Source organism: Homo sapiens, chromosome 16, assembly GCF_000001405.40.
Source record: "Homo sapiens chromosome 16, GRCh38.p14 Primary Assembly".
NCBI classification, from domain to species: domain Eukaryota; kingdom Metazoa; phylum Chordata; class Mammalia; order Primates; family Hominidae; genus Homo; species Homo sapiens.
In genome coordinates, this window is record NC_000016.10 from 76,421,196 (window position 1) to 76,449,104 (window position 27,909).

The 27,909-nt window shown below is 36.7% G+C and overlaps 1 protein-coding gene across 16 annotated transcripts in view; it reads left to right on the forward strand.

Moving 5' to 3' along the window:
- Positions 1 to 27,909, forward strand: part of CNTNAP4 (contactin associated protein family member 4) — a 283,357-nt gene that overhangs the window by 143,795 nt on the left and 111,653 nt on the right. For all 16 annotated transcript variants that reach the window (NR_136216.2, NR_136210.2, NR_136213.2 and 13 more), the window contains 3 exons: positions 6,257 to 6,404; positions 26,817 to 27,020; positions 27,572 to 27,756. Coding sequence is in view for 12 of the 16 variants with exons in the window: in NM_001322189.2 (NP_001309118.1) it covers positions 6,257 to 6,404; positions 26,817 to 27,020; positions 27,572 to 27,756 (537 nt within the window). In the remaining 4 variants the exon portion in view is untranslated. The remainder of the gene's footprint in view (positions 1 to 6,256; positions 6,405 to 26,816; positions 27,021 to 27,571; positions 27,757 to 27,909) is intronic.

The window sequence follows — 27,909 nt, forward strand, 5'->3', positions numbered from 1 at the left end:
ACAAGGGGTCTCATCAAGTTATCATTAATAATTGTGTTCCTTCAAATAAATATTTTAATAATATTCAGTATTTTTGGAAGGTGGTAGAGTTTGTTAAATAAAATTCCATTCCCTTTAATTTTGCAAATTGAGATGTATTATACGTGCAGCTCAAAACTTAACATTCTAATTTGATTAGTGGATTCTCATTGCTATTTCTTTATTATAATAAATGAATTTTACATTCATAATCAAGACTGAATCAACTTTGTAAGATACAGTCCTGATGTCTTGTTCAACATATGTTTAAAAGTTACTCTCATCTGGGTTTATGTTAGCAAATTTTCCACTTTTCAGTAGTTCTTATTTCTGTTTGCTTTTATTATATACTTTTCTAGACTAGATAACCTTTTGGGAGGCACATTTAGTAAAGATTTATACCTGACATCATAAAATTAAAAAGTGATTTCTATTTGACAGCATGTTGCTATGATTTATTTAGCATCTGAATGTCAGCTGACTATGTCAAAATGAATTGTACTTGAAAATAGGTCATGTGTAGGACACATGTAGGTCACAAGAATTCTCACAACAAGGGAGGTTATTAATGACAAGGGGATTTTCATGTTTCCCTGTTTCTTTGTTGAACTTCTACTGGTGCTGCTCTTTATTTGGATGGAGCTGGACTGATTTCTATATAATTGCAGAGTCTGCTGTGCAACTATGTGTAACGGGTCCCATGTTTCTGATTTATAACAGTGACGTTTTAGAGCTTCTTACAAATTGCCATATGGGCATCTCCCTTTATACTTCTTGGCTTTTATACGTGAGTTGCTCAATTAATATTTGAAAAAGAAATTAGTGCTATTATGCCTCTTCATAAACTTTAGAATCACTTTGGAAATACTCAAAATCCTGTGAGAAACTTTAATTCATTAACTCCATAAATTTTCTTGGTTAAAATACATTCCTAAATTGTCTATGAACACCTCATTGAGTTTGGAAATCACCAAGTCTAAAAGAAAAGAAAAATACAATGAAGGCTTTTTGGTTTTTATCATGTAAGACATATAAAGTTCATTTTACTTCTAGATATTTTATGTACTTAATGATATAACATATATTCTGTGTCTATTAGGAGGTTACTATTTATATGCAAGAGTCTTATTGATTATTCAATGTTTATCATTTATTTTTGACTCCAATAATTTTGGGAAGATATAAAGTTTAATAGAAAAGTTCTTTGTCTATAAAAGTCAGCTGGTGGAGCTGAGTCCCAGTTCAACAATAACCTAAGTTGCATTATTCTAAAATGTGTAAAAGGTTTTAAACATAAATTATGAGGAAAAATGAAAAAAGCTTCAGATAAAATATTAAATTTCCTCTAGGGTAAGTTGTTTGCTTTCATGTTCTGTTGAAGTGATGCCTTTTGATGGCTTAGCTAAATTATGGGCTTTGGAGTCAGAAAAGCCTGGAATTAAATCCTTGCTCTGCCACTTTCTAGCTGTGTGACTTTAGGCACATAACCTCTATAATTTTCATTTTCCTCAGTTGTAAAGTGGGTACAAAAATAACTACTTCACAGAGTTGATGCAAATATTAAAGCTAGCTAATACATTTCTGCTATGTCTGATGCTGAGCCCCTAACTTTCATGTTGAAAACATTTAAATTGGTAACATAGAACGCAATCACTAGTTGTTATGGTCCAAATATTTGTGTCTCCCCAAACTTCATATATTGAAATCTTAACCCTCAACAAGATGGTATTAGGTGGGGCCTTTTGGGAGTTGATTAGGTCAAGAGTCCTGTTATGGAAATGTAATTAGTTTCCTTATAAAAGAGACCCAAAGGAGCTCATTCACCGTTCCACGATGTGAGACTACAGCTAGAAAGTGGCATTCTATGAAACATGAAGTAGGCCTTCACCAGACACCGAATCTGCTGGTGCCTTCATTTTGGACTTTCCAGCCTCCAGAACTGTGAAAAATAAATTTTTGTTGTTTATAAGATACTCAGTTTATGACTTTTGAAGTGAGACCTTCTAAAATATTTTTTCTCTCTGAAAAGTTGTGAGATAATATAGGGAACATAAAAGAATAGGATTTATACACAAACCAGAGGAGTACTTTAAGAGTGAAACAAAGATCCAAAGCACAAAATTAGCTTGGCATGCATTCAAAATGCAAATTTCAGGACCCTCCCCACAAATTTAGTACACAGGTGCAAGATTCGTTTCTAAAGAAACACCTCAAGTAATGCTGACATATACTAAAGTTCTGAATCTTTAAAGGAAGACATAAATGTCCCTGTAATAAAATTATTATTTTTGAAAAAAGATAAAGAGATACTTAAATCCATGCATTCCTTTGTGAATTGTTATGGCAACAATTCTTCATAGCAAATTGAGGAAAGTTTCCTAGGCAAAGGAATACATTTGAAACTCAATAGCATGCACTGAACTTTTCATTTATAAAGTAATATAGCATCATATGCATCATTCACAAACATTCTGAAAATTTCCATCAAATATTAAAATCCAAAGCAGAATCTTGGTTATGTATGAAAAAATTTCAACAAGTGGAGCAAAAATTGCAAATTTATTGATCAGTTAATAAATATAATAAATAGTAACTGCATATTTTTCCAAGTGACACTGGCATTAGAAAGTTATTTAAAGTATCCAGAGTGCTACTAAGTAATGCTTTTGCCTGCTGTATGGCTATACACTCTTCCTATGTGTGTCTCCATTATTTTATTATTATAAAATTAATACATGCCCATTAAAAAATCTAGATTTGACTGGAATGTGCTGTAAGTCCCATATCCCCAACCTCACAATTTTCCTTACCCTCCATAAGAGATAATTGCTAAAAGTTTTGAATATGACAATGATATTTTTATTATTAATATAAACTGTATCTTATATTTATTCTTAACGTTTTCAAAATTTAAATAGCTCATAAATTGATCAAGTGAAAAGTGAAAGGCTGTCATTTGCAGATGTCTTATTCCATTTACCTGTTGGCTGTCTCTGCCACTGTGCATCTTTTCTCCCAGTCCCTTAAGACCCCAAAATCATTGAACTCACATTAATTTTGAAACAAATGTGAGATCTTTTGGAGGGTAATTTAATTAATCATCCAGCTGTTCACTCTGCAAGAAATTATAATTAGGGATTGTGTTAGTCTGCCAGTGGCACCTAGGAAATAGAATCAAAAGTATAAGAAGATCTAAGATCCTCAACCAAAGCTGCACATTACTCTAATTTGGAAAGCTTGTAAAGACATAAGCATACAGGCTGGGTGCGGTGGTTCACGCCTGTAATCCTAACACCTTGAGAGGCCGAGGCGGGCAGATCATTTGAGGTCAGGAGTTTGAGACCAGCCTGGCCAACATGGTAAAATCCCATCTCTAGTAAAAATGCAGAAAAAAAATTAGCCAGCCATGGTGTCTGGGGCCCGTAATCCCAGCTACTTGGGAGGCTGAGGCAGGAGAATTGCTTGAGCCCGGGAGGTGGAGGTTGCGGTGAGCTGAGATTGTGCCACTGCACTCCAGCCTGGGTGACAGAGTGAGACTCGGTCTAAAAAAACAAAAACAAAAACAAAAAGACGTAAGCTTACACATACACACACCCAAAGAGAAAGAGAGAACAAAATCAATGCTCAGGCTATGAGCGCTGAGAGTTTTAATGTGCAGTCTAAGTTCGGGAAACATTGCCCTATATCAGCCATCCTAAAAGAAATTGAAATAATCGATTTTTTAGGTGAATCATCGGGATTGCCATAGAAATTGAGACTGTAGTGCTCTAGAGGTTGGGTGGGAATAAGATTTGGTTAGTGCAATATAGAAAACAGCTAACCTTTCTTACCAAACCTCAGTAAAAAATTTTGACCAGTGGAACAGAATGGAACCTTCTCAGGGGTCTGGTTATCAGAGTCCAAATATCCATGGAATTAAACAATGTTCTCCTATTTATGTTCTGGGAAACACTAGTCTGGAAATTTGTTCTGCAAAACAACAGCAGCAACAATAGCAAAAACAGAGGGGAGCAGTTTTCTGGCCTTATATGTTTGAGATGCGCTAGGTAAGTGTCCCTGCCATGGGTTGATACATTGCAATTTGCACATTAGCACATGACATGCTCTGAGAGGCCCTGTAATTGAGACATCCGTTGAACTTTTGTTTTGTTTTTAAGCTCAGTCTTTCTCAAACATACACATTCAACATATATTTTATTGAGAACCACTTTGAGCTGAACAATGTTCTAGGTGTTACGGATGGAACACAATAAACCTCCCTGCTTTAGTAGAGTTTGTTTTCTAGGAGGATAAGATAAACAGGCAGATAATGATCAAATAAGAGAAATCCCTCTTAAAATAAAGAGAAATACAGAGAAAATAGCAAGATATTTATGGGGAGTGTCAGGTACACAGGTACTTTAGAGACTGTGATCAAAAAGGGCCTGTCTTGGGGGTAATATTTTAGTCAAAGCTTAAAAGGACAAGAGAGGCAGGGCATGCAAAGATCTGGGGAAAGAACTTTCAGAGCAGAATGGACTGCTGGTGCGAATCCCTGAGAGAACTGAACCTGGCTTGTTCAAGGAGGTCCAGTGTGGATAGAGCATAATGGAAGTGGTTGCTAAAGACTGTGTTTGAATAAGGAGTTTAGATTTTGTTCTAAGTGGCAAAGAAAGTGTTGGGGATGGCATAGTTTAATTTACCTCTACAAGTGTTACTGTGTGCTCAGAGGGGAAGACATTGGGGGTGATGGCAAAGAACAAAATAATAATAAAGACCAGGAAGAGGCTGTCAGGGAAGTTCTGGTGAGGTGATGCTTTGTTGAACTGAGTGGTCATATTGAAATAAAGAGATGCCCCGATTTTGGATATAATTTGGAGATGCCATCACAGCTGTGCCTGTGTTATGTGAGCTTGAACATTTAGTGTATGGGGTACTGGTGGAGTGGGGGCAGAAGGTAGGGGATTGATTGACAAGGAGAATCAAATTAATTTAACTATAAAACACCCAATCTTTTAAAAATGTACTAGAAAATGTTTTGGTAAATGATAGTAAGGGAATATTTGTGAATTAGAAAGAAAAACAGGCAGATGATCAGATACCCTGGGTATTGGTGTTTCTAATGTATTTATCTTTGCCTTGTGCAGTCTACATGAGGTTGATCTTATTTGTTGACCCAGTCATAGGCAAGGGACTTATCATGAACCTGCAAATGTAGTTGCATGTCCCCTTATTATGAAAGAAAGAGGTGGAGGAGAGGAGAAGGAGGACCATGACAAGGAAGGTGAGAAATAAAAATGAAATGTAAATTATTGAGAACAACTTCTGCTTCATGCTGACTTCTCCACCTGTAGTCTTAACAGTGTGCTGTGTGGAAGAAAACAAAAGTTGCATAAATGTTGGGGGCTGCAGTATGTGGGTTTTACAGGTAAGCTACCTATTATGTCGATGCATCCTGATTTTATGGAAGAAACATAGCTCCTGGCCCTACCATGTAATGGTTGCAATGGTTGCAAACACTGGAGGGATTTTTTTTTCTTTCCTTTCTGACCTCTAATTTCCTTGTCTGCAATTTGACTGTGCTAGCTTAGCATCAATTCCCAAGATTTCTCTAGCTTTCAAATTCTAAAGTCCGTAAGTTTAATTACAGGTCTTTCCAAATTATTATTGCTTCCAATTTCCCTTCACAATTTGAATGTGTGTATCTGGCATTGTGCTGCTGAGGTTTAACAACCTGTTAGCTGAGTGTAGCTCCAACTTGAATGTTGCGTGGTACTTTTCTTTATGTTAATGAGTAAGATGAGAAAGTGAAAGAACCAAAAGACATCATAGCTTAATTCATTCATCAATGATGTAAGCAACTTCTTTGTTGACTCGAATGATTGTTTTTCAACCCTTGGAGAATATTTTCTCAATTTTTTTGGTGCTATTCACAATGTTAAGTGCTACAGACATGGCACATTTTTACGTTTAATCTACACTTTACAGAAGCAATTTTTGTTACAGGTATCGTGGTTGAAAACTAGTTTAATGGGGTGGTAGAATTTAAACTCTCTTAAGAAAAAAGAAAAGTTGAAGCGACAGTAATTTCTCTGGATGCAGAGACATCATGACATAACTGTTAATGTGATTTTCTTATAGAAGGTAGCACCATTCATAGTAAAATGCAGATCACACATTGCTAATAGACATTATAGGTGACAAGCTGAAATGGATGTTCTCCAGATACATTGATGTGCTTCTTTCCCTTTTCTTTTAGGGTTTTTCAGGAAATGCAAATGCAGACAGTGTTGTGTACTATAGACTCCAGCCTTCTATCAAAGCCAGATTTCTGCGCTTCATCCCTTTGGAATGGAACCCCAAGGGCAGAATTGGAATGCGAATCGAAGTGTTCGGATGTGCATACAGTAAGTGTTTGTTTATCCAATACACTGACATAGATATCAAAAGAGATGTTTTAAAAGCCAAACTACAAACTGAAATGGACTTTTTAGCTACATAAAGAGGTATAAAAAATAGGAATAATTTTTGTGGAAAGCTTTTTTGTGCATGCCTGTACATGCCAATATTGACTTTCATGTTCAACTTTAACATTTTAATTCAGAGATGGAAGCACTTGATAGATGGATAGATACATATTTACTGATACATGGGAATGTATTTCTTCAAATAGAATATTATTGACTATGTTGTAACTTTCAAATATTAGAAGTTTCCTTCATGAGTTATATTTGATGATATTTCATTTAGGTATCCTGAGTCTAATAAAAGGGACAGTGTTCCATTTAGTTTAACCGTCATGTTATGAAACCAAAAAATATTTTTTCTTTAGCCTAAAAACAATATCATGCAATTCACCTTTAAATGTGCTATGCTGTCAGTATAAATTAATAGAAAAAGAGAAGACTTCTGCCTGAATATAACATGTGTTTAAAATACTTTCACATAAAAAAGATAGAAACCACAGATTTCACTTAGTCTCCTCTTAATGAAGCATTTTATTATATATATTTTTTGTGAGGAAGGGACCTAAGAGTTATTGATAGTGCACCTCAAGCCACATTATCCTGTTAGATACACTTTTATTATAGAACAGTGGGTTAGTTAATATGATTTACAATTAGCAGACTAACAGTGTGAGGTTTGAAGAGATTCACTAATTTGCTCAGAGCCTCACATATGAAATAATCTGGAAGAGAACCCAGGACTGCTCAATTCACGACATCGTTTTTTTTTTTTCTCTAGTAAACATTTATTTTTAGCTACTAAAGCTTTTTTCATACATACGCTGTCACTTTGTGATGTAAGCCAAGTTAAGTTCTGATTCACTTTCTTTACATAAAAGAAAAGCAGGTGATAAAGAGATCAAGTGACTTGTTGAAGTTGTCTAAACTCTATCCGACAGAGAGATCACATTGCATGGTTTGCGTGGGTACTCTCCTGTATTTTGTGATGTTTTCAGTGTCCATCTCTACCATCAAACATATTTGACAGACCTGATTCCTCCAGGGCCTACAGAATAATACTAATAAAAGTATTAATATAATATTAATAGCAATAATAGCAGTAACACTAATAGTAATATTAATAGCATTCCTTTCTATAACTGTAGAAATAGCACCGTTTCCTTAGTGCTTATTATATGCACTATTCCAAGCAGTTTACGATTCCTCAAAATAGCCCCGATAAATATTACTGGGTAACTACTCCATTTACCTCTTTTGAAAATGAGAAAGCTAAAGCTTAGAGAGGTTGACTTGCTCAAGCCACACAGAAAGGAAGTGGCAGAGCTGGGTTTGCAGCCAAGTTTGCCAAACTCCAGAAAGCAAGCTTATATTGACATTTCCTCTAGTTGTTGAATAACAGAGATGAGTCAGTGGCCAACTAACCTCTCACTATCTGTCCGCCTTAATTGCAGGCTTTCGTGGCTTCAACAATCCAGCTTAGCTACACCATGTTAGTTCCTCACGTCACAATTAGTATACCTGAATAAAATCACGCATTAAAAAAATCCTACCCCCAATTATGATCCTGCAAACTAGAAGTTGGACAGTAGTCTTATTTGTCTTTGGATCGTAGAGCTTAGCAAAGCTCATGCCACATGATGGACAACTAGTAAAACCAATTTCAAAGTGCTTCCTGTTTACAGTTATATTCTCCACTTATTCAGAACATCCACCTTGCAAAATACTTGTCTATCACAGTATAAAAATAGCTAACAGTTATTGTGCATGTATTTTTTGTAGACATTCTACTAATAATTTAATCCTCAAAACCACCCATTTATTAGAGAGAAAACTGGGTCTTAGAAACATTAAGCAATTTGTTCAGTACCACACCCTTAGTATGCATTAAACCTAGGATATAAACTCAATATTAACAAATTTAACATTAAGAGCAACAGTTTAGTGGGACTGTTTATGCTGTTTTGCTGGCTCTAAAGCACCAGGTATAATGTCCACATGGTGGTGATAGCTAAGGTACAGGTTCTTTTGAGTTATCTGCTGCTCTGTGGCTAATGATAACTCAAACCTCCCCCTCACCTGTCTTGATCTGCAGCTCTCTGGAATGTTCTTTTTGTTGCAACTTCATTTGCTATATTTGGGGTGAGCATACTGTCCATGTATTTGGTCAATATTCTTTTCACATTGACCCATGGTTGAAGTAGTAGTACTGGAAGCCAGCAGGATTTTAAACTCAAACTTAAACACATATAGTGAAATAGTGTGGCAGGAGTTAATGACAAATGATGGTTGTGTAACTTTAAACCATTATTAAAGGAGAAAAAGTAATAAACTTAATGGATAAACATTCTTGTAGATAATCAGAAAATAACCAAAGAATGGGTTGGGCATGAGTACCTTATGGGAATGTATTTGATCAAATTGGCTTTTATACCTCAATTACACCATAGTCATGCTCACATTTTCCACCTGTTCATAGCATTGGCATTGCAATATATTTATTAAAATGTGATATTATATAGCCATCATTTATTAAAGTTAATATGTGTCAGAGACTGTAAAGAATAAGCATCTTCTGATTTGTTCCTAGTAATGTAGGGAAGCAGGCACATGAATATTGCCATTTCATGCAGGAGTCAGAGGAGAAAAGCAGAATTATCTACTGAATAAGACATACAGCTTGCTCTGGGTGGCATGGCAAAGAAATAGCTAGGACTACTGGCTTTCCCTGCCCTCAGAAGGAAGGGCTGTAGTTGCTATCATCACAAGTATCCTGTTGCAAGAGTTTGTCTGCAACTCCCTTAAGTAGCACAGACCCAAGATCAGATTGGATTTTCCCCAGACACAAAAGACTGTTCTCCCGAAATCCCTATTAAAAGGAAAAGTGGTGTTGGGGAGTGGGTAGGGTTTCTTTACTGAATCACAGCCACAGGACATTCATCCATGCCCAACAAAGTAGGTTTCCCCTGAGCTTGAGGAAGGCCTGAAGGATTGCATGCAACTGGCCATCCTCCCCTGTCTGTGCCTCCTCATCTGCACCAAATTAACGTGACTCAGGTGCGCTTCGCCTGAGCCATTCACTCAAGTGTAGCACACCTCGCAGACTGCTTCATCTCTTCTGACATAGAAGAAGGTGAACTTAAGAGAAATTGGTAACTTCTGCAGAACTACACAACCCGTGTTAGATCTAGGATTTAAAATCAGCTGTCTCATTTTCCTAAGCCAGTGCCCTTGATAACTATGTGAATCATACATGTATTGAGCCTTTAACCATTTATTGGTACTTGCCAAAAAGAACTAGGTATGGGGTATAGGGAGATATTCTAAAGTCATAAATATTTTCTTAATAAAGACAGGCATGTGCAATGTTAGAAAAATTATATGAACTAAGTATAAAATATTGTAGAAGGAGTATAGGGTGTGAGGGATAAAGTGATTGATAAATTGTGGTTAGTATAAGAAAGTTTATAGCAGTAGATTTTGAAACAAAGTTGCAGATATTTTCACATGGGAGACTGAAAGGATGGTCCAAATAGGAAAAGTGCTGTACCCCAGTCAAGCACAGGAAAGAGGATTGCTGGAATGATTATTTGAGTACAGTCATTCAGACTGAAATTAGGGCTATGGGTTAGAGGGTGAAATCTGGAGGCAGCAACTCATTAGAAGGCTTTCACTCTTGTTTGGACAAGTGATGGTAGAACCCCAAGCTAGAGGAACAGCAATCAGTAAAGGGGGAGGAAGGGCAAGGCGCGGTGGCTCATGCCTGTAATTCCAGGACTTTGGAAGGTGGAGGTGGGGGGTTACCTGAGGTCAGGAGTTCGAGACCAGCCTGGCCAACATGGCAAAACCCTGTCTCTACTTAAAATACAAAAATTAGCCGGGCGTGGCAGCGCACGCCTGTAATCCTAGCTACTTGGGAGGCTGAGACAGGAGAATCACTTGAACCCAGGAAGTGGAGGTTGCAGTGAACCGAAATCATCCCACTGCACTTCAGCCTGGGCAGCAGAGTGAGACTCTGTCTCAAAAGTAAAGGGGGAGGTAAGCAGATTCAAAATATTCTTAGGATATTGAATCAAGATATCTTGGTCATTGTATGTGAGGGAACACTGAGTTATCAAATTTGCTTTTTTTCTTTCCTCCGTTGATCCTTTTTTTTTCCTTCAAATTTGAACAACTGTCTGGAAGGGGCTGTCATTTACTAAGATGGGAAATGAGACAATAAATAGATTGTGGAAGGAAACAAGAGATAATTAATCCTGTTTTTGACACATTGAGTTCAAGGGCCTTTGATATATGGAAGATTGGAACTCCAAGCCCTCTGAGTTGAAGACGTAGAATTAAAACCTATATAAATATCATTATTGTTAGTAAATCATAAAGTATTCTACTTATTGTACTACAGTTAATAACAAATGCGTGAAGTGCTATGTTTGATCGACTACTCATGTCTTGAAAAATGGGAATGCATTTCCGTCATAATAAAAGCAGCTCCTTTGTACTATTTTTTAGGTGGAATAAATATTTTTATGCCAGGCTCCCCTTGTGCCTAATACATGTTTGCTGAAGTCATAGATGCAAGCCTATCCTGTGATTATTACAGGAAAATGGCTATTGTGAAAACCACACATAAATTGCCGTTTACCCCAACAAGTTAGGGCAGTAACTTGTTATGAAGGAACATCAAGTGAATGGAAAATCCATATCAAAGAGCATGTTCTACTTTTATGTCAGTAAACTTGAAGTTGTTTCCTGAGTAATGAGAGAAGTAGAGGCTAAATTTTATGGGATCAAAGAGAAACTATAAATTTCCAATATCTTGGCCATAGCAGCAGTGATCCTGTTTGCAGATCTGGAGAAGAAATGTATAGAAGTAAATTACTGGTGGGAGAAAGAAAGAAAAAGAAAAGAAAATGTTTGATGCTACAGAAACAATACTACATGTCTGAAAGAGAAGTAAACAATGGTGAACAAAGGAAAATAAATGGGTGAAAGTGAATATATCTGCAATGTCCTTAGGAAGCAGCAATTAAACCATAGGAGATAATGTTCTTTAATTGTGGATGAATTGCTGAGGCAGTTGTCCTTAGTGTAAATTCTAATTTCCTTTTCTCTAGTTACTGTATAAACATCCTCATTTTGCAGCCTATGATCATCTCTTCCTCATCCCCAACAGAATAAGAACATCCAACTGTCAAGCCATACTCAACTAATTTGTTTCTTTGGCTAGCCATGATTTTATGATTTTTCTAGCCTTAGGGTTTCTGCATGATGCCTAGGGCAATCACCACGTACCCACCAGCCTTCATTTCTCTATTTGGATAACTCTCTTACTCATTCTTCTTTTCTCAGCATAGAAATCTCTGCTTCTGACAACTTCTCTAATACCCCACATTCAAATCTGGGAATGTTTCCACCCACTTGTAGAACAGCTTTTCTTCTCCCAATCATGACATGCCCACGTTATACTGGGTTGCAACCAGACATTCTTTTTTTGTTATTAGTCTTCTGGATAAAGACTAATAACAACAATGAAGAATGAATGAATGGGGGCAAGCTTAGTAAGCCTCAGGAATGCTTTCTCCATCATTCTAGTGTTCAACTTGTTAAAGATCAGGAATAAAGGTTAGCCTACCAGGAGAACTGAGGGAGAAGATTGGACATGATGAGCAAATGTACAGATGTGTTAAACCATTGTGTTTAATTGCTTCAATGCAGACAGTTGAAGAGAAAATTATGGATCATATTTAATAAATTAAACATCAATCATTTTAAAACATATTAACTTGCACATAATAGGAATGTATACTTTATTATTTAAAAAAATTCCAATTTTTTTACATAATAAACTATAAAGTTGGAATTATAACCATCAGCAGATTTAAGTTTAGAAAACATATAAAGAGGACAATTTAAAAAGTACTGTAAAAGCACAGACATTTACCTGGGTGAGGAAAACAAAACATTGAAAGACAGCTAGATAATAGTCTCTGTCTATTCAGGATGCTAATCTCTCATACCACCTGTCTGGTTAGGGGGAAGAATGAAAAGCAATAAATTGGTTAGATTTATTAAAATGATAGTTATAATTGAGTTCAATACCTATTTATTGAGCAACTCCCACATGCTAACTGCTAAAAGCTGGAGTAAGGTGAATTAGATAGTTCTTACACTCAGATTATCTATCAGCTAATATAGTAGCTGAGAAATACTGTTTTATGTCAAAGTTTGAAAAGAAGATAGACTCTGATTGGCCTAAAATCAAAGAGTATAAATTCTCTAATTCTTTGCAAAATTTATAATTTTAAGTTTGATGACAAGTGGAGTGTATTAGGGTTCTCTAGAAAGACAGAACTAATATATATATGTGTGTGTGTGTTCTGTATATATATGCACACACACATATATAGAAATTTATATATACAAAGGGATATATATCTAATAAGATACATTTGTATAATTAAAATATATATATTTATAAATATATATACTAGAAATATTGAAATATCGAATATATATAAAGGGGAGTTTATTAAGTATTATTAAGTAGTTTACTGAGTATTAAGTATTATCGTTAAGTAGTTATTAAGGTCTCTCCAAATAAGATTATGACACAAAGCCACAAAGCTGGAGAGTTTGATATACCCCTGAGGTAGGACAGTAAAGGTATATTGCTGGCATTGCCAGCTGAAAGCAAATTGTTTCTGGTGAGCCTTATGGACAGGAATGGAGAAAAAGGCATTTGCCAAGTCAATGGCTGCACACCAGGTACCAGGAGATGTGTTAATTGGAGCAGGCAATGAAACCACATCTAGTACAACAGCTGCAATTGCAATCACCACTTGATTAAGCTTACAATAATCCGCTGTCATTTTCCAAGATCCATCTGTCTTCTGCAGAGGCCAAATGGGAGAGTTGAATGGGGATGTGGTGGGAATCACCACCCCTGCATCTTTCAAGTCTTTGATGTTGGCACTAATCTCTGCAGCCCCTCCAGGGATGTGATATTGTTTTTCATTTACTATTTTTCTTGGTAGAGGCAGCTCTAAGGGCTTCCATTTGGCCTTTCCCACCATAATAGCCCTCAACCTCCCAGCCAGGAAGCCAATGTGGAGGTTCCGCCAGCTGCTAAGTATGTCTGTGCCAATTATGCATCCTGGCACTGGGGAAATGACCACAGGATGAGTCTGGGGACGCACTGGACCTACTATAAGTCACACTTGAGCTAGAACTCCATTAATCACCTGACCTCCATAAGCCCCTACTTTAACTGGAGCACCACAATGATGTTTTAGGTCCCCTAAAATCAGCGTCAACTCAGAGACAGTGTCCAGTGGTCCCTGAAGTGCCTGATTATTTTCCTTTCCCCAGTGCACAGTTACCCTGGTAAAAGGCTGAATGTCTCCTCGGGGAAGGATAGGAGAAAGATTAACAGCATACATTGTCAGTAGGGTAGTAGGGTCCTTCCTCAAAGGGACCTGGCCTCCCCTTCATTCAAGGGGTTCTGGGTCTGTAAACTGGCTCAAGTCTGGAAGTTGACTGAAGGGCTGTGATTCTCTGTTTTTATAATTCAAATGAGTCTTTTGTCAATTCAACCTAGAAGTTTTCTACTTATATAAATTAAGCAGGAGTGCAGTAGGCTTCCTATCAGTTTTACTTCTAGGAACACTGTGATTAATTAGCCAATGCCAGAGCTCTATACAAGTCAGACTATTGTGATTGCTGTTTTGCCTCTGCTGTCCATTACAGTAGCTACGCCTGCCTTGCCTTTGATGTTTGAGTGCCACCACTTGGTTCCTGCCACCTCAGGATCCAGTTATTCCCATTTTATTTAAATTTTGTCGTTGAGTGACTGTGGTTCCCACTGTTAGATCTGACATACAGGGAAGAGCAATTGTAGGGCTCTTCAAAGATGCAGATGCTGCCCTCACAAATCTGTTTTGCAAGGTGTTGGTCAAGGGTATATCTTCTGGACCCTCCCAGCTGGGATGAGTAGGTCTAAAGTGACTAATCTACTCCACCATCCCCATCTCCCTAAGCCTTTGGATTCCTTTCTCTACATTAACCCAAGGGACATCAGGCTTCCAGCTCGCTCACAGTGGGCCATCTTTTAATCCTTATTTCAGCTAACTAAGCAAATAAGCTGTTAGAACCTTTTTTAAAACTCCCTAAGCTGCAACGTTAAATGCAGAATACCTACTTAGTGGGCTGAAATCAATAAATTCAGCCTGATCTAATTCTATGTTTCTTCCACCATTATCCCACACCCTTAATATCCATTCCCATCCCTGTTCTCCAGATTTCTCTTCATATAAATTAGAAAACTCAAGAAGTTCTTTTCAAGTGTAGTGCACCTCCTCATGGGTCACACTCTGAATGTCACCTCTAGGGGCCCGCCAGGACTTTAGTCTAGTTATAGGTATAGAACAAACAGGGGTGTTGGGGTTGGTTCCTCAGGAGAATCAACATTATCTCTCCTGGCAACTGCCTCAGGGGAGGCCATCACTGTTGTCTCAGGCAGCGCAGGGTTTATCTCCTCAGACAAAGGTGGAAAGAATGATGGCAGTGTGGGTCAGGGAGGGGATGATGCCGCTACTGGGGATGGGAAAGCTGTTTCTTCTGGCAAGAAAGGTTCATCAGAGTTTACAAGGTCAGTGTCCCCAGCTTCATCAGGGTCCTCCCGCACATCCCCATTCCAAGTTGCAAGGTTCCATTCTTTTCCAATCAATGCCTTCATTTTAACAGTAGACATGGCAAGGCTGTGCATCCACCTTTCCTTGCAGTTCAGCCACTCACATGATAAGAGCTCATGTCTGATTTTCCACAATTTCAGCTTTCTCTAAAGGAGATAAGACTCTGACTCGGGTCAGTCTTAGAAGATTTGAGACCCACTATCTGCTTCTGAAGCCAGGAGACAGAATCCCTGAGTTCATCATTTTCTTTCATCACTTTGTCCAGTGAACTGAGGAGCAACCAACCAGCTTCATTATGTTCCTTGGTTCTCCACATATGGTCAAAGGTATTATGTATAGAGTCACTAAACTCCTTACCTCTCACAAGTGGTAAATCAGGAGTGTCCAATGCATTAATTTTGCCTAACTCTCTAAACAGTTCATGCCAAGGACTATCAGTGTTCTCCATACTATTAGAAGTAGAGTCCTTAGCATTTTTGGGTCTAATCATATTAAGCAGCCAACTCCAGAAACCCCAAAACAGCTAAAGAACTCCATCCTTAATATTCTGTTCCTGTAGAACCACTCCTGGTACCAAAATCTGTATTAGTCAGTATTAATCTGACTAATACAGAATATCTATCTATCTATCTATCTATCTGTCTATCTAGGAGTTTATTAAGGAGTATTAATTCACATGATCACAAGGTCCTACAATAGGCCATCTGCAAGCTGAGGAGCAAGGAAGCTAGTCCACGTTTCAAAGCTGAAGAACTTGGAGTCTGATGTTTGAGGGCAGGAAGCATCCAGCATGGGAGGAAGATGTAGGCGGGGAGGCTAAGCCAGTCCAGCGTTTTCGTGTTTTTCTGCCTGCTTTATATTTGCTGGCAGCTGATTAGTTGGTGCCCACCCAGATTAAGGGTGGGTCTGCCTTCCCCAGCCCACTGACTGAAATGTTAATCTCCTTTGGCAACACCCTCACAGACACACCCAGGATCAATACTTTGCATACTTCAGTCCAATCAAGTTGAGACTCAGTATTAATCATTACATGGAGTTATATTAAAATTAAAATAAGATTAGCTATTAAGATACTAGAAAATAAGGAAACTATGAAAACCTATCAGGGTCATGGCAAAAGAATTCAGCATCAGTTGAAGAGGCTCTCACTGACCAAAAGTGAAAATGTTTTAGTATCAAAAAGGATAGTAACTGCTAAGTTTTGCAACAAATTAAGTATGTTTGAATGAATGGGTTCATGATAATAATAATTGAAAAAGCCCCATTGATCACCTATGAGAGACATAAAGACCCAACTCCTTATTTTGAAAACTAATGAACGAATAGAGGAAACACGAACCATATCTTAATTTTCCTATGTAACTTGAACCTCCAGGTAACCAGATAGAAGAGAGGAGTATCTCTTTAATTAAATATTTTAGGTAATAAATAAAAATGAATAATAGAATTAGAAAATGTCTATTTGGCAGCACTAAATAAATGACTGGTTCAAGCTAACTATGACGGTTCACAACAAGGGAGAAGATCAGTTTTTCAGTATCAGTCATGGCGTTGTAGCTTTTATTGGACTAAGCTGCTGTCCATAAAATTATAAGTGTTAAATAAAATATATTTTAAAAGCCTGCTTCAGAGTTCTGAAGTTTAAGGTATTAATAAAATGAAAGAAACTGGAGCAGAATTGATTCTTGGAATAAGGGAAGTAAACTTTGGGAAATCCACATTTATCTTGCTTTTACCAAAGGACCAGCAGAAAATAGCTAGATTTTACTAGGAAGTGGGGACAGAGGTCAGATTTCAAGTTGCCAGAGAGGCTAGAAATTGAGTAGGGAATATTTAGAAGAAGATCAGAGAGCAAGGGTCCGTGCTCCTGCAGACACATTTCCCTCAGATCCTTGGCCAATTCTTGTAACTCACATGCTCAAGGTGAAATGCCAAGCAGCCCTAGAGAAAGCACGAGAAAGAGGTTTAAAAGTCTAAAGATTTCAGTATCTACGTAGGGCTGGAAGGGGACCACCTTTGGAGTTCAAGTCCTGCCAATTTAGAGGAATTTGTTAAACACCTTGGAGTTTTACTGAAATGCCACAAGGTAATCTGTCACAGGAATAGAGATGTTTTTTAAAAAGGGAAGAAAGAAATCCCACAAGAGTATTGCCTTGGGAGTAAAGACTGTACCTGAGGACATATTGTTATATCCTAGAGCTAAGGACAAAACCAAAATAGACTTATCCAACAAAACTTGAAACTAAGGCTTCACAGGGTCTAGGTGATCAGCCAGTAATTCACCTCCCTGTGGACCACTGCCATTTACTTCCCGCCAGTGCCATCCAGCTCGCCACTGTCTCTCCTACACTCCTAACAGGCCTCATCCCTCCCATACCCACACTCTCCCTTTTCCCACTTCCTCCTTCTTTCCTGGCCGCTGCTGACACATAGGGTTACCTACTCAGCTTAAATAGCACTTCCTTAGAGATATTGTTTCTGAACACCAAACAAATTTAAATCTCCGTGTTCAAAACTCTCCTGTAACCCTGTCCTTTCATTCCATGCTTTGGAACTTGTACATTTGTCTGTACATGTGTACATTTGTACAATTACAACTTGTAAATATGTACAATTACATATCTTTACTACTTTACTATATTTTTAAATAGACCAATTGTAATTGTACATATTTACCAACTTGTAAATGTACATATTTACATTATAATGTGTAATATGTCTGTACACACAGGAGGATTTGCCTGCTCTCTTCCTTCGGGATGGAGCATCCTTGAGGCCAGGTGTGTTCACTGTAGCAACAGCAGCTCCCACCGTAGCACTTGACACAGCATTCAATAACTATTGGTTAAATGGCTGAATTAAAAAAAATCTGATTATCCATGATGTAAATTGTATCATAAATACATAAAAATCACAAATGTATTACATTCATACAGCAGTAGTTGATCAAAAGAGAGATAACTTTGAGATAAACGTGATTTCAAGTGTTGTTATTATTAAAATCATAACAGTATACAAAATAATGTTGAGGCATTTTGATATTTCCATTTGATCCCTCTAGCATCTTTGTGTAGTATGAGAGGCTGGAATTTTTCAGTACATAGCCAAATAAGGAAACTGAGAATCAACATTTAGGTGACTTCTGTGACATTGCAAAAGTTGCAAATGAATATTAGAGCCAAAAATGCAACTTACATCCTCCGGTGATGCATTCAAGTGTCCTTGACATAGTGGATATTACTAATTTCAAATCTGTTTAAAAGATTAATTTACATTGACAAAAATTAAGTGAGAATGATCATGTTTTTTCCCATAACCTGCTGGTGTGTTGTTACTGACCTTAACTTGGTCTATTTAAAAAGATAATAAGGGCACCTTTTCCCTGTGGTTATATATAGCACTTGATCTCTGTGCCTTCTTCCTTTTTATTGTATTAATTTTAGTTGTTTTAAACTTAAGAGTCCTTAAATCATTCTGTGTTCTGTTATGCTACCATGCAAAAATAGTATAATCTATTTCCTGTTGATTTCTTGAGTACTTGGTCTCTCTTCTCCATTGCTTTAAAAAACCAGTTCAGTAATGCAGGTCTCAAGTGCCTATCTATCATGCTGCTACTTTAATATTTCACTATATAATAGTTAAACAGCGACTCAGTCTGATTTGTGTTTCTTAGAAGTCAAAATTGGACCTCTGTTTGTTTAGTAATTCATGGGCAATAACTTTCAAATAAATAAACAGTATGATCAGTGTTTAAGGCTGACTTCATTTTTAACTAAGAAGAGTTTGGTCTATACCCCTTTCCAGTTGATGAAATAGCTATATATTTTTTTTCTCTGATCTTTGACAGGAACATTCTAGTTCTATTTACATTTTGGGGAGATTCCTAAAGAATTAATAAAAGACTCTAGTGTCTTTTTCAATCACTCTTTCATGACCTTCAAATACAGTTAATTTTCTATTATTTAAAAATTGATTTTCTAATTTACACATTTTCTATTCCAATTTTTCTCTTTTAAGTTTTTAGTCATCTGACCTCAGCAAAAATTCCATGATTCATAGTTTCACTCACAGAATCAATTTATCCCGAAAACATCTTCAAGGGACAAATCTCTACCACCTCCACAATTATCGGCAAGTACCACCCACAGTATAAATAAATAAAACATTCATTTCCATGGTACAATTCATTTCCAGGTACAATTCAATATGCAATGGGGTTATTTATTTTCAGAGAATAGGTTTATGGAACCTACTTGTTCTTCCTATCAAACAACCCTCATGCTGCCATCTGCCTCAGAATCATTTAGGGACCTGTATTCCTGTTCCAGGTTAGAATTCCAGAGATTCTAATTTGGTGAACATTAGGCCAAGCCCAGGAAGTAGAATGTTGAATGTTTATGGAGATCCCAAGGGATTCTTTTCCATTGGTTCCAATATAACTGGACCATAGAGCTCAGTTCATGGTCTTGAATATTTTTCTTAGTAATTCACTTGGGGGTGAGGAGGACATTGCTTTTTCAAGTGACAACCCCTCAAAATTTGAGAAGCCTCAAACTTCTGGAGAAGGGCTAGGATGCAGGGGTGGGGAGAAGATACCAGGAAAACTGGAATATATTGCCATGAGGGGTGTGTGTGTATGTGAAATATGCAGTGGTAGAAAAAGTTTGCTGCTCAAGAAGGTAAAGCGTTTTTACAATTTAGTTGAGACCCTTCTTAGAGGCTACAGCGGATCAACTCCCTCTCCTGCATGTCTTAGAAATCATTCAATACCCAGCCGTGATACAAAAGCGGAACTCTGAAGACAGGCATGAATAATTGCATCTCAGGGTTGTGTGTCTTCCCCAATTGACTATAAGCTCTTTCAAAAAAACAAAAAGTGTTCTTTGTTTTTATGCATCACTGTGTCTTCCACGGTATTCACAGAAAGCTCTCCATAAATACATGCTGCAGGAAAAAAGGCAGAAGACACATTTCAAGAATACTACATCTGACACAACTCCCTGAAAGATATTTGAATATTTTCTATTGCAAAGCTCTTAATTCCATGGCAGATTGTATTTCTGAATTGTGTAAATAAAGCAAGCTATACCTACGGGCACAGGGAGAATTGATATGAGAGTAGGGCGTACAATCTTTTTGAGTCTCTTCTTTCCTCGATTCTTGCTGTAAATGTGAAGATTTGAGATGGAGGTATTCACTGAGGGGGAATCAGGTCACCAGCAATTGCTGTGGTAAGTCAGCTTGGGTAGGAGCTGACAGACACAGAAAAAGCCACAGAACCCACAGATGGCTTGAAATCATCCTTGCTGCATAACCTGGCAATGACATTGATAATTAAGGGTTTCTTATGTACTTCAGCAATTCATTATTATTTAAAGAGTCACAAATACACCAAATGTACTTATTAAACTATTTTTTGCTATGCACCTTTTCCTGCCCAATATTCTAACAATAAATCCTAGTGCTAGCATTAGTAGTTAATATTCATTTATTGCTAATTGTGTGTCAGCTTCTAAAAACTAGGCAGATAAGCATGCATACAACAATCCTAAGAAGACTATACTATTATTCTCATTTTACAAATGAGACAACAGGGACAAAGAGGTTAAGTAACTCACTGTGATAAAGAGGATAATACCTCCCTAATATCTTAGTCCCTGAAACCTGTAAATATGTTGTGTTACCATGGCAAAAGCGCTTTGCAGATGTCATTAACTTAGGGATCTTACAATGGGGAGATTATTTTGGTTTATCCAGGCGGACCTGATGTAATCACAAGGGTCCTTATAAAAGGGAAGTAGGAGGCAGGGAGGGAGAGAGGGAAAGAAAGGAAGATTTGAAGATGCTGTGACACTGGTCACATGAAGGAAGAGGCCACGAGCCAAGTGGTCTCTAAAAGGTAGAAAAGACAAAGAAATGAATTATTTTTTAGAGACTTTAGAAGGAAAAAGCTCCTGCCAACACCTTGATTTTAGGACTTCTGAATTCCAGAATTGTAAGATAATAAATTTGTGATATATTAAGAGACTATGTTTGTGGTTATTTGTTTTACAACAATAATAGGAAGCTGTCTGAATCCTTTTATGTTGCTATAACAGAATATCTGAGGCTGGGTAATTTATTAAAAATAGAGGTTTATTTAGCTTATGGTTCTGCAGGCTGGGAAGTTCAAGAAGCATGGTGCTAACATCTGCTGGGCTTCTGGTGAGGGCTTTTGCAGGGTCAAAACAGTGGAGAAGGTCAAAAGGGATGTGGAAAAGTGCAAAAAGGCAAAACCTGAGGGGTGTCTTGCTTTATAGCAACACACTCTTGCAAGAACAAATCCATTCTCATGAGAACTAATCAGTCTCATGAGAGAAGGGATTCACTCACTACCCTGAGAACAGCCACAAACCATTCATAAGGGATCTGCCTCATGGTTCAAACCCTTTCCACTGGGCCACAACTCCCAGCACTGCCACACTGGGGAACAAATTTCAATATGAGTTTTGGTGGAGACAAACCACATCCATACCATGGCAGAAAATAATATACTTGCTCAAGTTTGAGTGAGTATTCAAACCAGCACAGACTAGTTGCCTTAACTACTATGCCAACATGAAATATATATTATTAGAAATGGCTGAAAAGGGGGCTAGACTAAAAAGCGGGGAATTTGTCAGAACAATTTGCAACTGTGGTCAGAGAACTAGAGTTCATACCCTGCCCATAGTGAGCCAGTGTATGACAGAGCCACATTATTAATCTCGATAATAACCCAATCATTTAAAATATAGAATGTAAAATATGTATAATATATACTTAAATATATAAAACCTCAGTTAATAAGCATACTAATGAACAAATTCACAGTTAGAAAAATAATTCTTATTCTTCCTTTCAGTTAAGCAAAAAGTCTCCTCTTACATCTTTAGACTGTAGGCCTTTTACTGTTACAAATTTTGTTAACTTCAGATTTCACATTTTTCCTATGGTCAATTTTATAATACTTCTACTTTTCCTATTTATACAATTCAACTATGTACAAAAGATTGTCTTCCCAGCCTGGGCAACATGGAGAAACTCCATTTCTGCCAAAAATACAAAAAATTAGCTGGACATGGTGGCAAATTCCTGTAGTCTCAACTACTTGGAAGGCTGAGGCTGAGGTTGGAGGTTCACTTGAGCCTCGGAGGTCAGGGCTGCAGTGAGCTGAGATTATGCCATTGCACTCCAGCCTAGGTGACAGAGGGAGACCCTGTCCAAAAAAAATATTTTCCCAAAGGTATTTACAAAAGATAGGAGTAAGTATGATATTGACTGTTAATTTAAATATTAATTTTATTTTGGATGCTTAATTTAGTGTTTCTAAAATAAATATTGATTTGTACTAATTTTAGCAATTCTATTTACTCATATCTTTCATAGATTAGTACAATACAAAGACATATTGCTATGAATCACCCTGAAATTTTTTATTTTTGTATCTGTTTGCATTGCTGTTGCTTTTTTAAGAGCTCAAATATCTGAGAATCTTTGTGGAATAGTGAAAATAAATTCTGGTGATGGCTAAGATTTGATATGTTGCTTTCTTGGTCATTGATGTGAAATCCAAACGTATGTTTTCAGTTCGCAATGTTAAAGTAAATTTTCAAAACATAAAAACATAACTTCCATTCAAATACAGAATATACATGTATCAAAGAAGTATTTGATTCATTAATGAAGGAATCAGAAGGATGGTAAAACTAGTTTCAAAGAAAATTCAAGAGATTGAGTGTATATATAGGAATCCAGGAAAGCATGTTAGAATAATATTACTAGGTAGATACGCAAGAAGTTAATATTCAACAGGACAATAAACCCATAACCTTTGGAGATATAGTTTCTACCAGACAGAAGCAATTTGCATCTCTACTGAGCAAAAATCTACAGATTATGTTTAACTTTATAGAATCTGGCCTTAATTATTATTCATTCAGTAATAAATAGTAAAATCAGAATTTATTAATTCACCTAGAATTAAATAATCTTTACCTGTTAGAAGATGTTCTACAATGACATTGAGAAGATGTGAAGTTATTTCTTTGCTTTATTTATTTCCACTTTTTTTTCTAATTTTTCTTAACAGTGGTAAGATCACTTTCAAGAGAATCTATACTCCTGTCTCTGTCACCAGCATTTTTGGACAGCTGAGTACTGTCCAAAATATATAGAATTGAAATGCTCCTTCTCTCTCTCAAAAGATTAATTTTTTCAGGTTTTTATATGATTAACTTTATGCCACATAACTCAGAATTTTGTAATTGTTTAAGATGATTTTTAAAGTATATCAAATGGGTGCAAATAACTTTTTATAAAAATTGCTTATAAAAAGTGACCTACAATGAGTGTTATATCTAAAATAATACTGTTAAAAATCATCCAGAATTTTTTTTCATTTCCTGAGAGTCTGTTTCTATATATTAAATGTGTATCCTTTGAAGTTTTCCTGTACTGATAATGTACTCGCATTGTGAATTATACTGAACTTTTTTTCTCTGAAGGGTATTGTTTACCTGCATGGGAAATCTGTGATGCGACTGTAGCCAGTTTGTTGATTTCCGTCTTTCTGTACTTTGTTCCTTTCAGGTCCCCTTTTTCAAGGTGAGCCAACCTCACTCCTACTCTGAGTACTAAATTATTTCCTGTCACTGTAGTTTCTCAGCAATCCTCAGAGCTCTCTCTTATGACAGTGAATGGGACAGTGCTGGGAAAATGTCTAGGCCTCTTGAAATTAAGTGTTCCAAGAGTAATCCTAGTTTATGGGGACAAGTTATAGGACTTGAAGACTGTAGAGGGTGGCAAGATTACTGATTAAGATCTCCCTTTGCCTCCTGTTTCTAGACCTGAGAACTGAGAGAGCCCTTTATCAACTACCTTAAGTGACTCCAGCCTTCTGTTACTCTTGATCAGAATGCCTGTTACAACCTGTAATGCTTTTATGAACTTAGTTGTTTACTTGCTAAATATTGTCTGTCTTCACTAAATGGAAACACCATGAGGACAGGGGCCATATTTATGTTGAATTTTTTTTAAATCCCAGAATCTGGCACACTGATTCAAACGTGATGGGTCAAATAAAGTTTTATTGAATGAATTCATAGAATTGCATTGTCGTGTACCTGTGAAGCAAGGAGACAGTAAGAATGACAGAAAATGACAAGTGGCCTTGGTTTAAGAGTATGCAATTGCTTTAGGCATTAATGGTTTTATATGTTTTTCTCTATGCCATTTTGCTGATTGAAATATTCCAGGCACAAAAGCTTTAGGTGCCACAGAAGATACATATCATCATTATAATGTAATAATAACAGCAGCGAAAAAGAAAAAAAAAGTACTAGTAGCTAAAGTAACACAAGCTAAACCTTTAATGGGAAAAATTCTCTTGGTAGCTAATTTCAAAAATAGTCTTTACCTAAAATGAAATCATTACTGTCATAGTTGCCTTTAAGTGATACATTAACTCGGAGATAACTGCATTGCTCCAAATGTGTCAGCATTTAAAGTCTGTCTTACTGGAATTTTTCTTAATTTATTGTAATCTAATAATCATAGGATGCATTATTTGTATTTGACACAGTTGTATTTTTCCCATGCGCATTCATTCAGCTATGTAACGAGGAAGGATTGTTAGGCTAACATTATTCTTTCTACAGAATGCAGTATTTATTCATGTGCACTTGGTGAATGAATTCTCTATAAGCACATTAGCAAAATGTGAAAAAAATAAAACCTCTGAGTCTTCAAAAGATGGCTGCATAAAATAGTTGAAAAAAATTTGCAGGGTGGTGTGTATAGACATTTCACATAAAATATGATGGATAATCTGAATCAAATGCATATTTGGGCTTACAAGTAGCTATAATAACTTTGTCACATCAAACAAGATGAGTAAACTGGAATGTCATTTCGTTGACTGGAAGAAGCCAGCTTACCAGTTGAAAAATCGCTTCATATTTTATTGTATTTTTTGAGCCTCTTCATTTATTACATAAGTGCACTCTCAAGGGTAATTGCCTTAAAAAAATCTTTGACTTGTGAAATGTAGACAATACCGTCAGGATTTCCAAGTGTTATGAGTTCTTTTTAATGTCTCTTGTTCAGGTGCAACTGATTTTGACAGATGTATTGTTAGGTTACTGGTATAACATGACATCTTTTTTCAGATGAAATGAGTAAGAGTGATTTTGACAATAAGTAGATAAGACAGTCAGAAAGTTGAAAAAAACATGTCAATGTCACAGTTATGCCACAAATACTACAGAACAGACCTTACAATATCATTAAGTCAGGGTCTTTCCAACAATGTCCTTGAGAAGACAGAAAATAGTATTGCCCTTAAATACTACCACTTAGCCACAGACGGAAAATAAGACAAAACACAAAGATCAGTTTAATGTGTACTCAAGGCGGCATTTGATGAGTCTATGCTATGTGTGTATATTTGTGTATAGACCTCGTTAACATACTGTATGGATGAAAGAATTTTGAGATATCAAAACCACTTTTTCTGGAGCCAAAAAAGCATTTAACTTTAGAATTCCAAGAACTCCATTAAAAAACATTGATTGTGAAATATGCAAAGTGATTTAATGTATATTAATTATAACTTTGTTGAATGGAATAAGAAGAAATAGCCTTTAATAATATGAGAAAAAGGCCAGGCACAGTGGCTCACGCCTTTAATCGCAGCACTTTGGGTGGCTGAGGTAGGCAGATCGCCTAAACCCAGGAATTCGAGACCAGCCTGGGCAACATAATGAGGACTTCATCTCCATAAAAAATAAACAAAATTAGCTGAGCATGGTAGTGCACCCTTGTGGTTCCACTTACTCAGGAGGTTGAGGTGGGAGGGTCGCTTGAGCCTCAGAGGTCAAGGCTGCAGTGAGCCAAGATAGTGTGAGTACCACTGCATTCCAGCCTGGGTGACAAAGAAGACCCTGCCTGAAAAATTATATATATGAAATTATGTATATATATATATGAAATTATATATATATATGAGAAATTTAGGAATACATTTAAAAATGTATTTCTAGATCATGAATTTTGTAAACAGGTTAGTAAAGACTAAAATGAAATCAACCCCATGTGTCAATAGGGAATTAGATGTTTGGTGGTCATATTTTCCCTTACTATTGACTGGTCAGAAGCTGGACTACACAGACAGTCCCTGACTTACAGAGATTCAACTTACAGTTTTTTGACTTTACAGTGGTGTAGAGACAATATGCATTCAGTAGAAACCATGCCTCAAGTACCTATCCAGCCATGCTGTCTTTCACTTTCAGTGCAGTATTCAATAAATTACATGAGATATTCAACACTTTATTATAAAATGGTTTTTGTGTTAGATGATTTTGTTCAACAATAAGCTAATGTAAGTGTTCTGAGCATGTTTAAGGTAGGCTAGGCTAAACTATGAGGTTTGGTGGGTTACATGTATTAGATGCATTTTCAACTAACAATATTTTTAACTTAAGATGGGTTTATCAGGATATAACTCCATCATTAGTTGAGGAGCATCTGTATATGCATGTGTATGAGTACGTATACTGCCTTTTCTCAATATATAATGCATTTAAAATGATTTAATGGAAAAGATATTTATCCTTAGAATGCCTTCTACTATCTTTGTTTCTAGGATCAGAAGTGGTTGATCTTGATGGAAAAAGTTCCCTTCTCTACAGATTTGATCAAAAATCCCTGAGCCCAATAAAAGACATTATTTCTTTGAAATTCAAAACCATGCAGAGTGATGGGATTCTACTCCACAGGGAAGGGCCAAATGGAGATCACATCACACTGCAATTAAGAAGAGCAAGACTCTTTTTACTTATTAATTCAGGTAAAACTATTCGGTGAAGTGCTCAAAAATCTGATTATTTAGATATCACCTAAGTCACTTTATGCTTTTATAGCTTATCTTTTAGCAGTCAGAGTGCCTTATTTTCAGATTCAAGGGCTTGTACATATGTCAATATTGCTCTTTCATGTAAAAATGGTTCATATTTTGCAAATTGCACAAAATCTTCAGTGTTTTTTTACATAGTGCTGATAGAACCATATAGCTATTTTCTAACATCATAAAGGAAGGGATGGGTCATTGAAAAATGTTGAGGTAGTAAAAATAATGAGGTTGTGGCAAAGATAAAATTTACATAGAAAATGAGCGTGCAATCAGTAATAATGACAAAAAGAATTAACAACGGAGGAAATTACAACAAGGTTGAGATATTATTATATTGAAACTTCGGGGAAATGCATCCTAGTATTTGAAACGGAATGCGTAGAAGGAGATTGCAATTATTATGAAAGATGGTGGTCCACAGAAGGGAACCTTTTTTTTTTTTCTTTAGACTGGCAATAATGGTGCTGTTATTTTTCTCCTCTTCTAAGGTGAAGCTAAACTGCCTTCCACTTCCACCCTGGTCAATCTCACCCTGGGCAGCCTGCTAGATGATCAGCATTGGCATTCAGTGCTCATCCAGCGTTTGGGCAAACAAGTCAACTTCACAGTGGACGAACACAGGCATCATTTCCATGCACGGGGAGAATTCAATCTCATGAATCTTGATTATGAGGTGTGATGGTTATGTTTCAATTAATGCTGATTTTATTATGTATATGTGGTTTAATCTCCCAGAGGAAAATACACTATAAAGAGCCCACCTTTTCAGTAAATCATAGAACAGGTGAAGCATTTCCCAAGGCAGTCTAACTCACAGTGGCAGCTT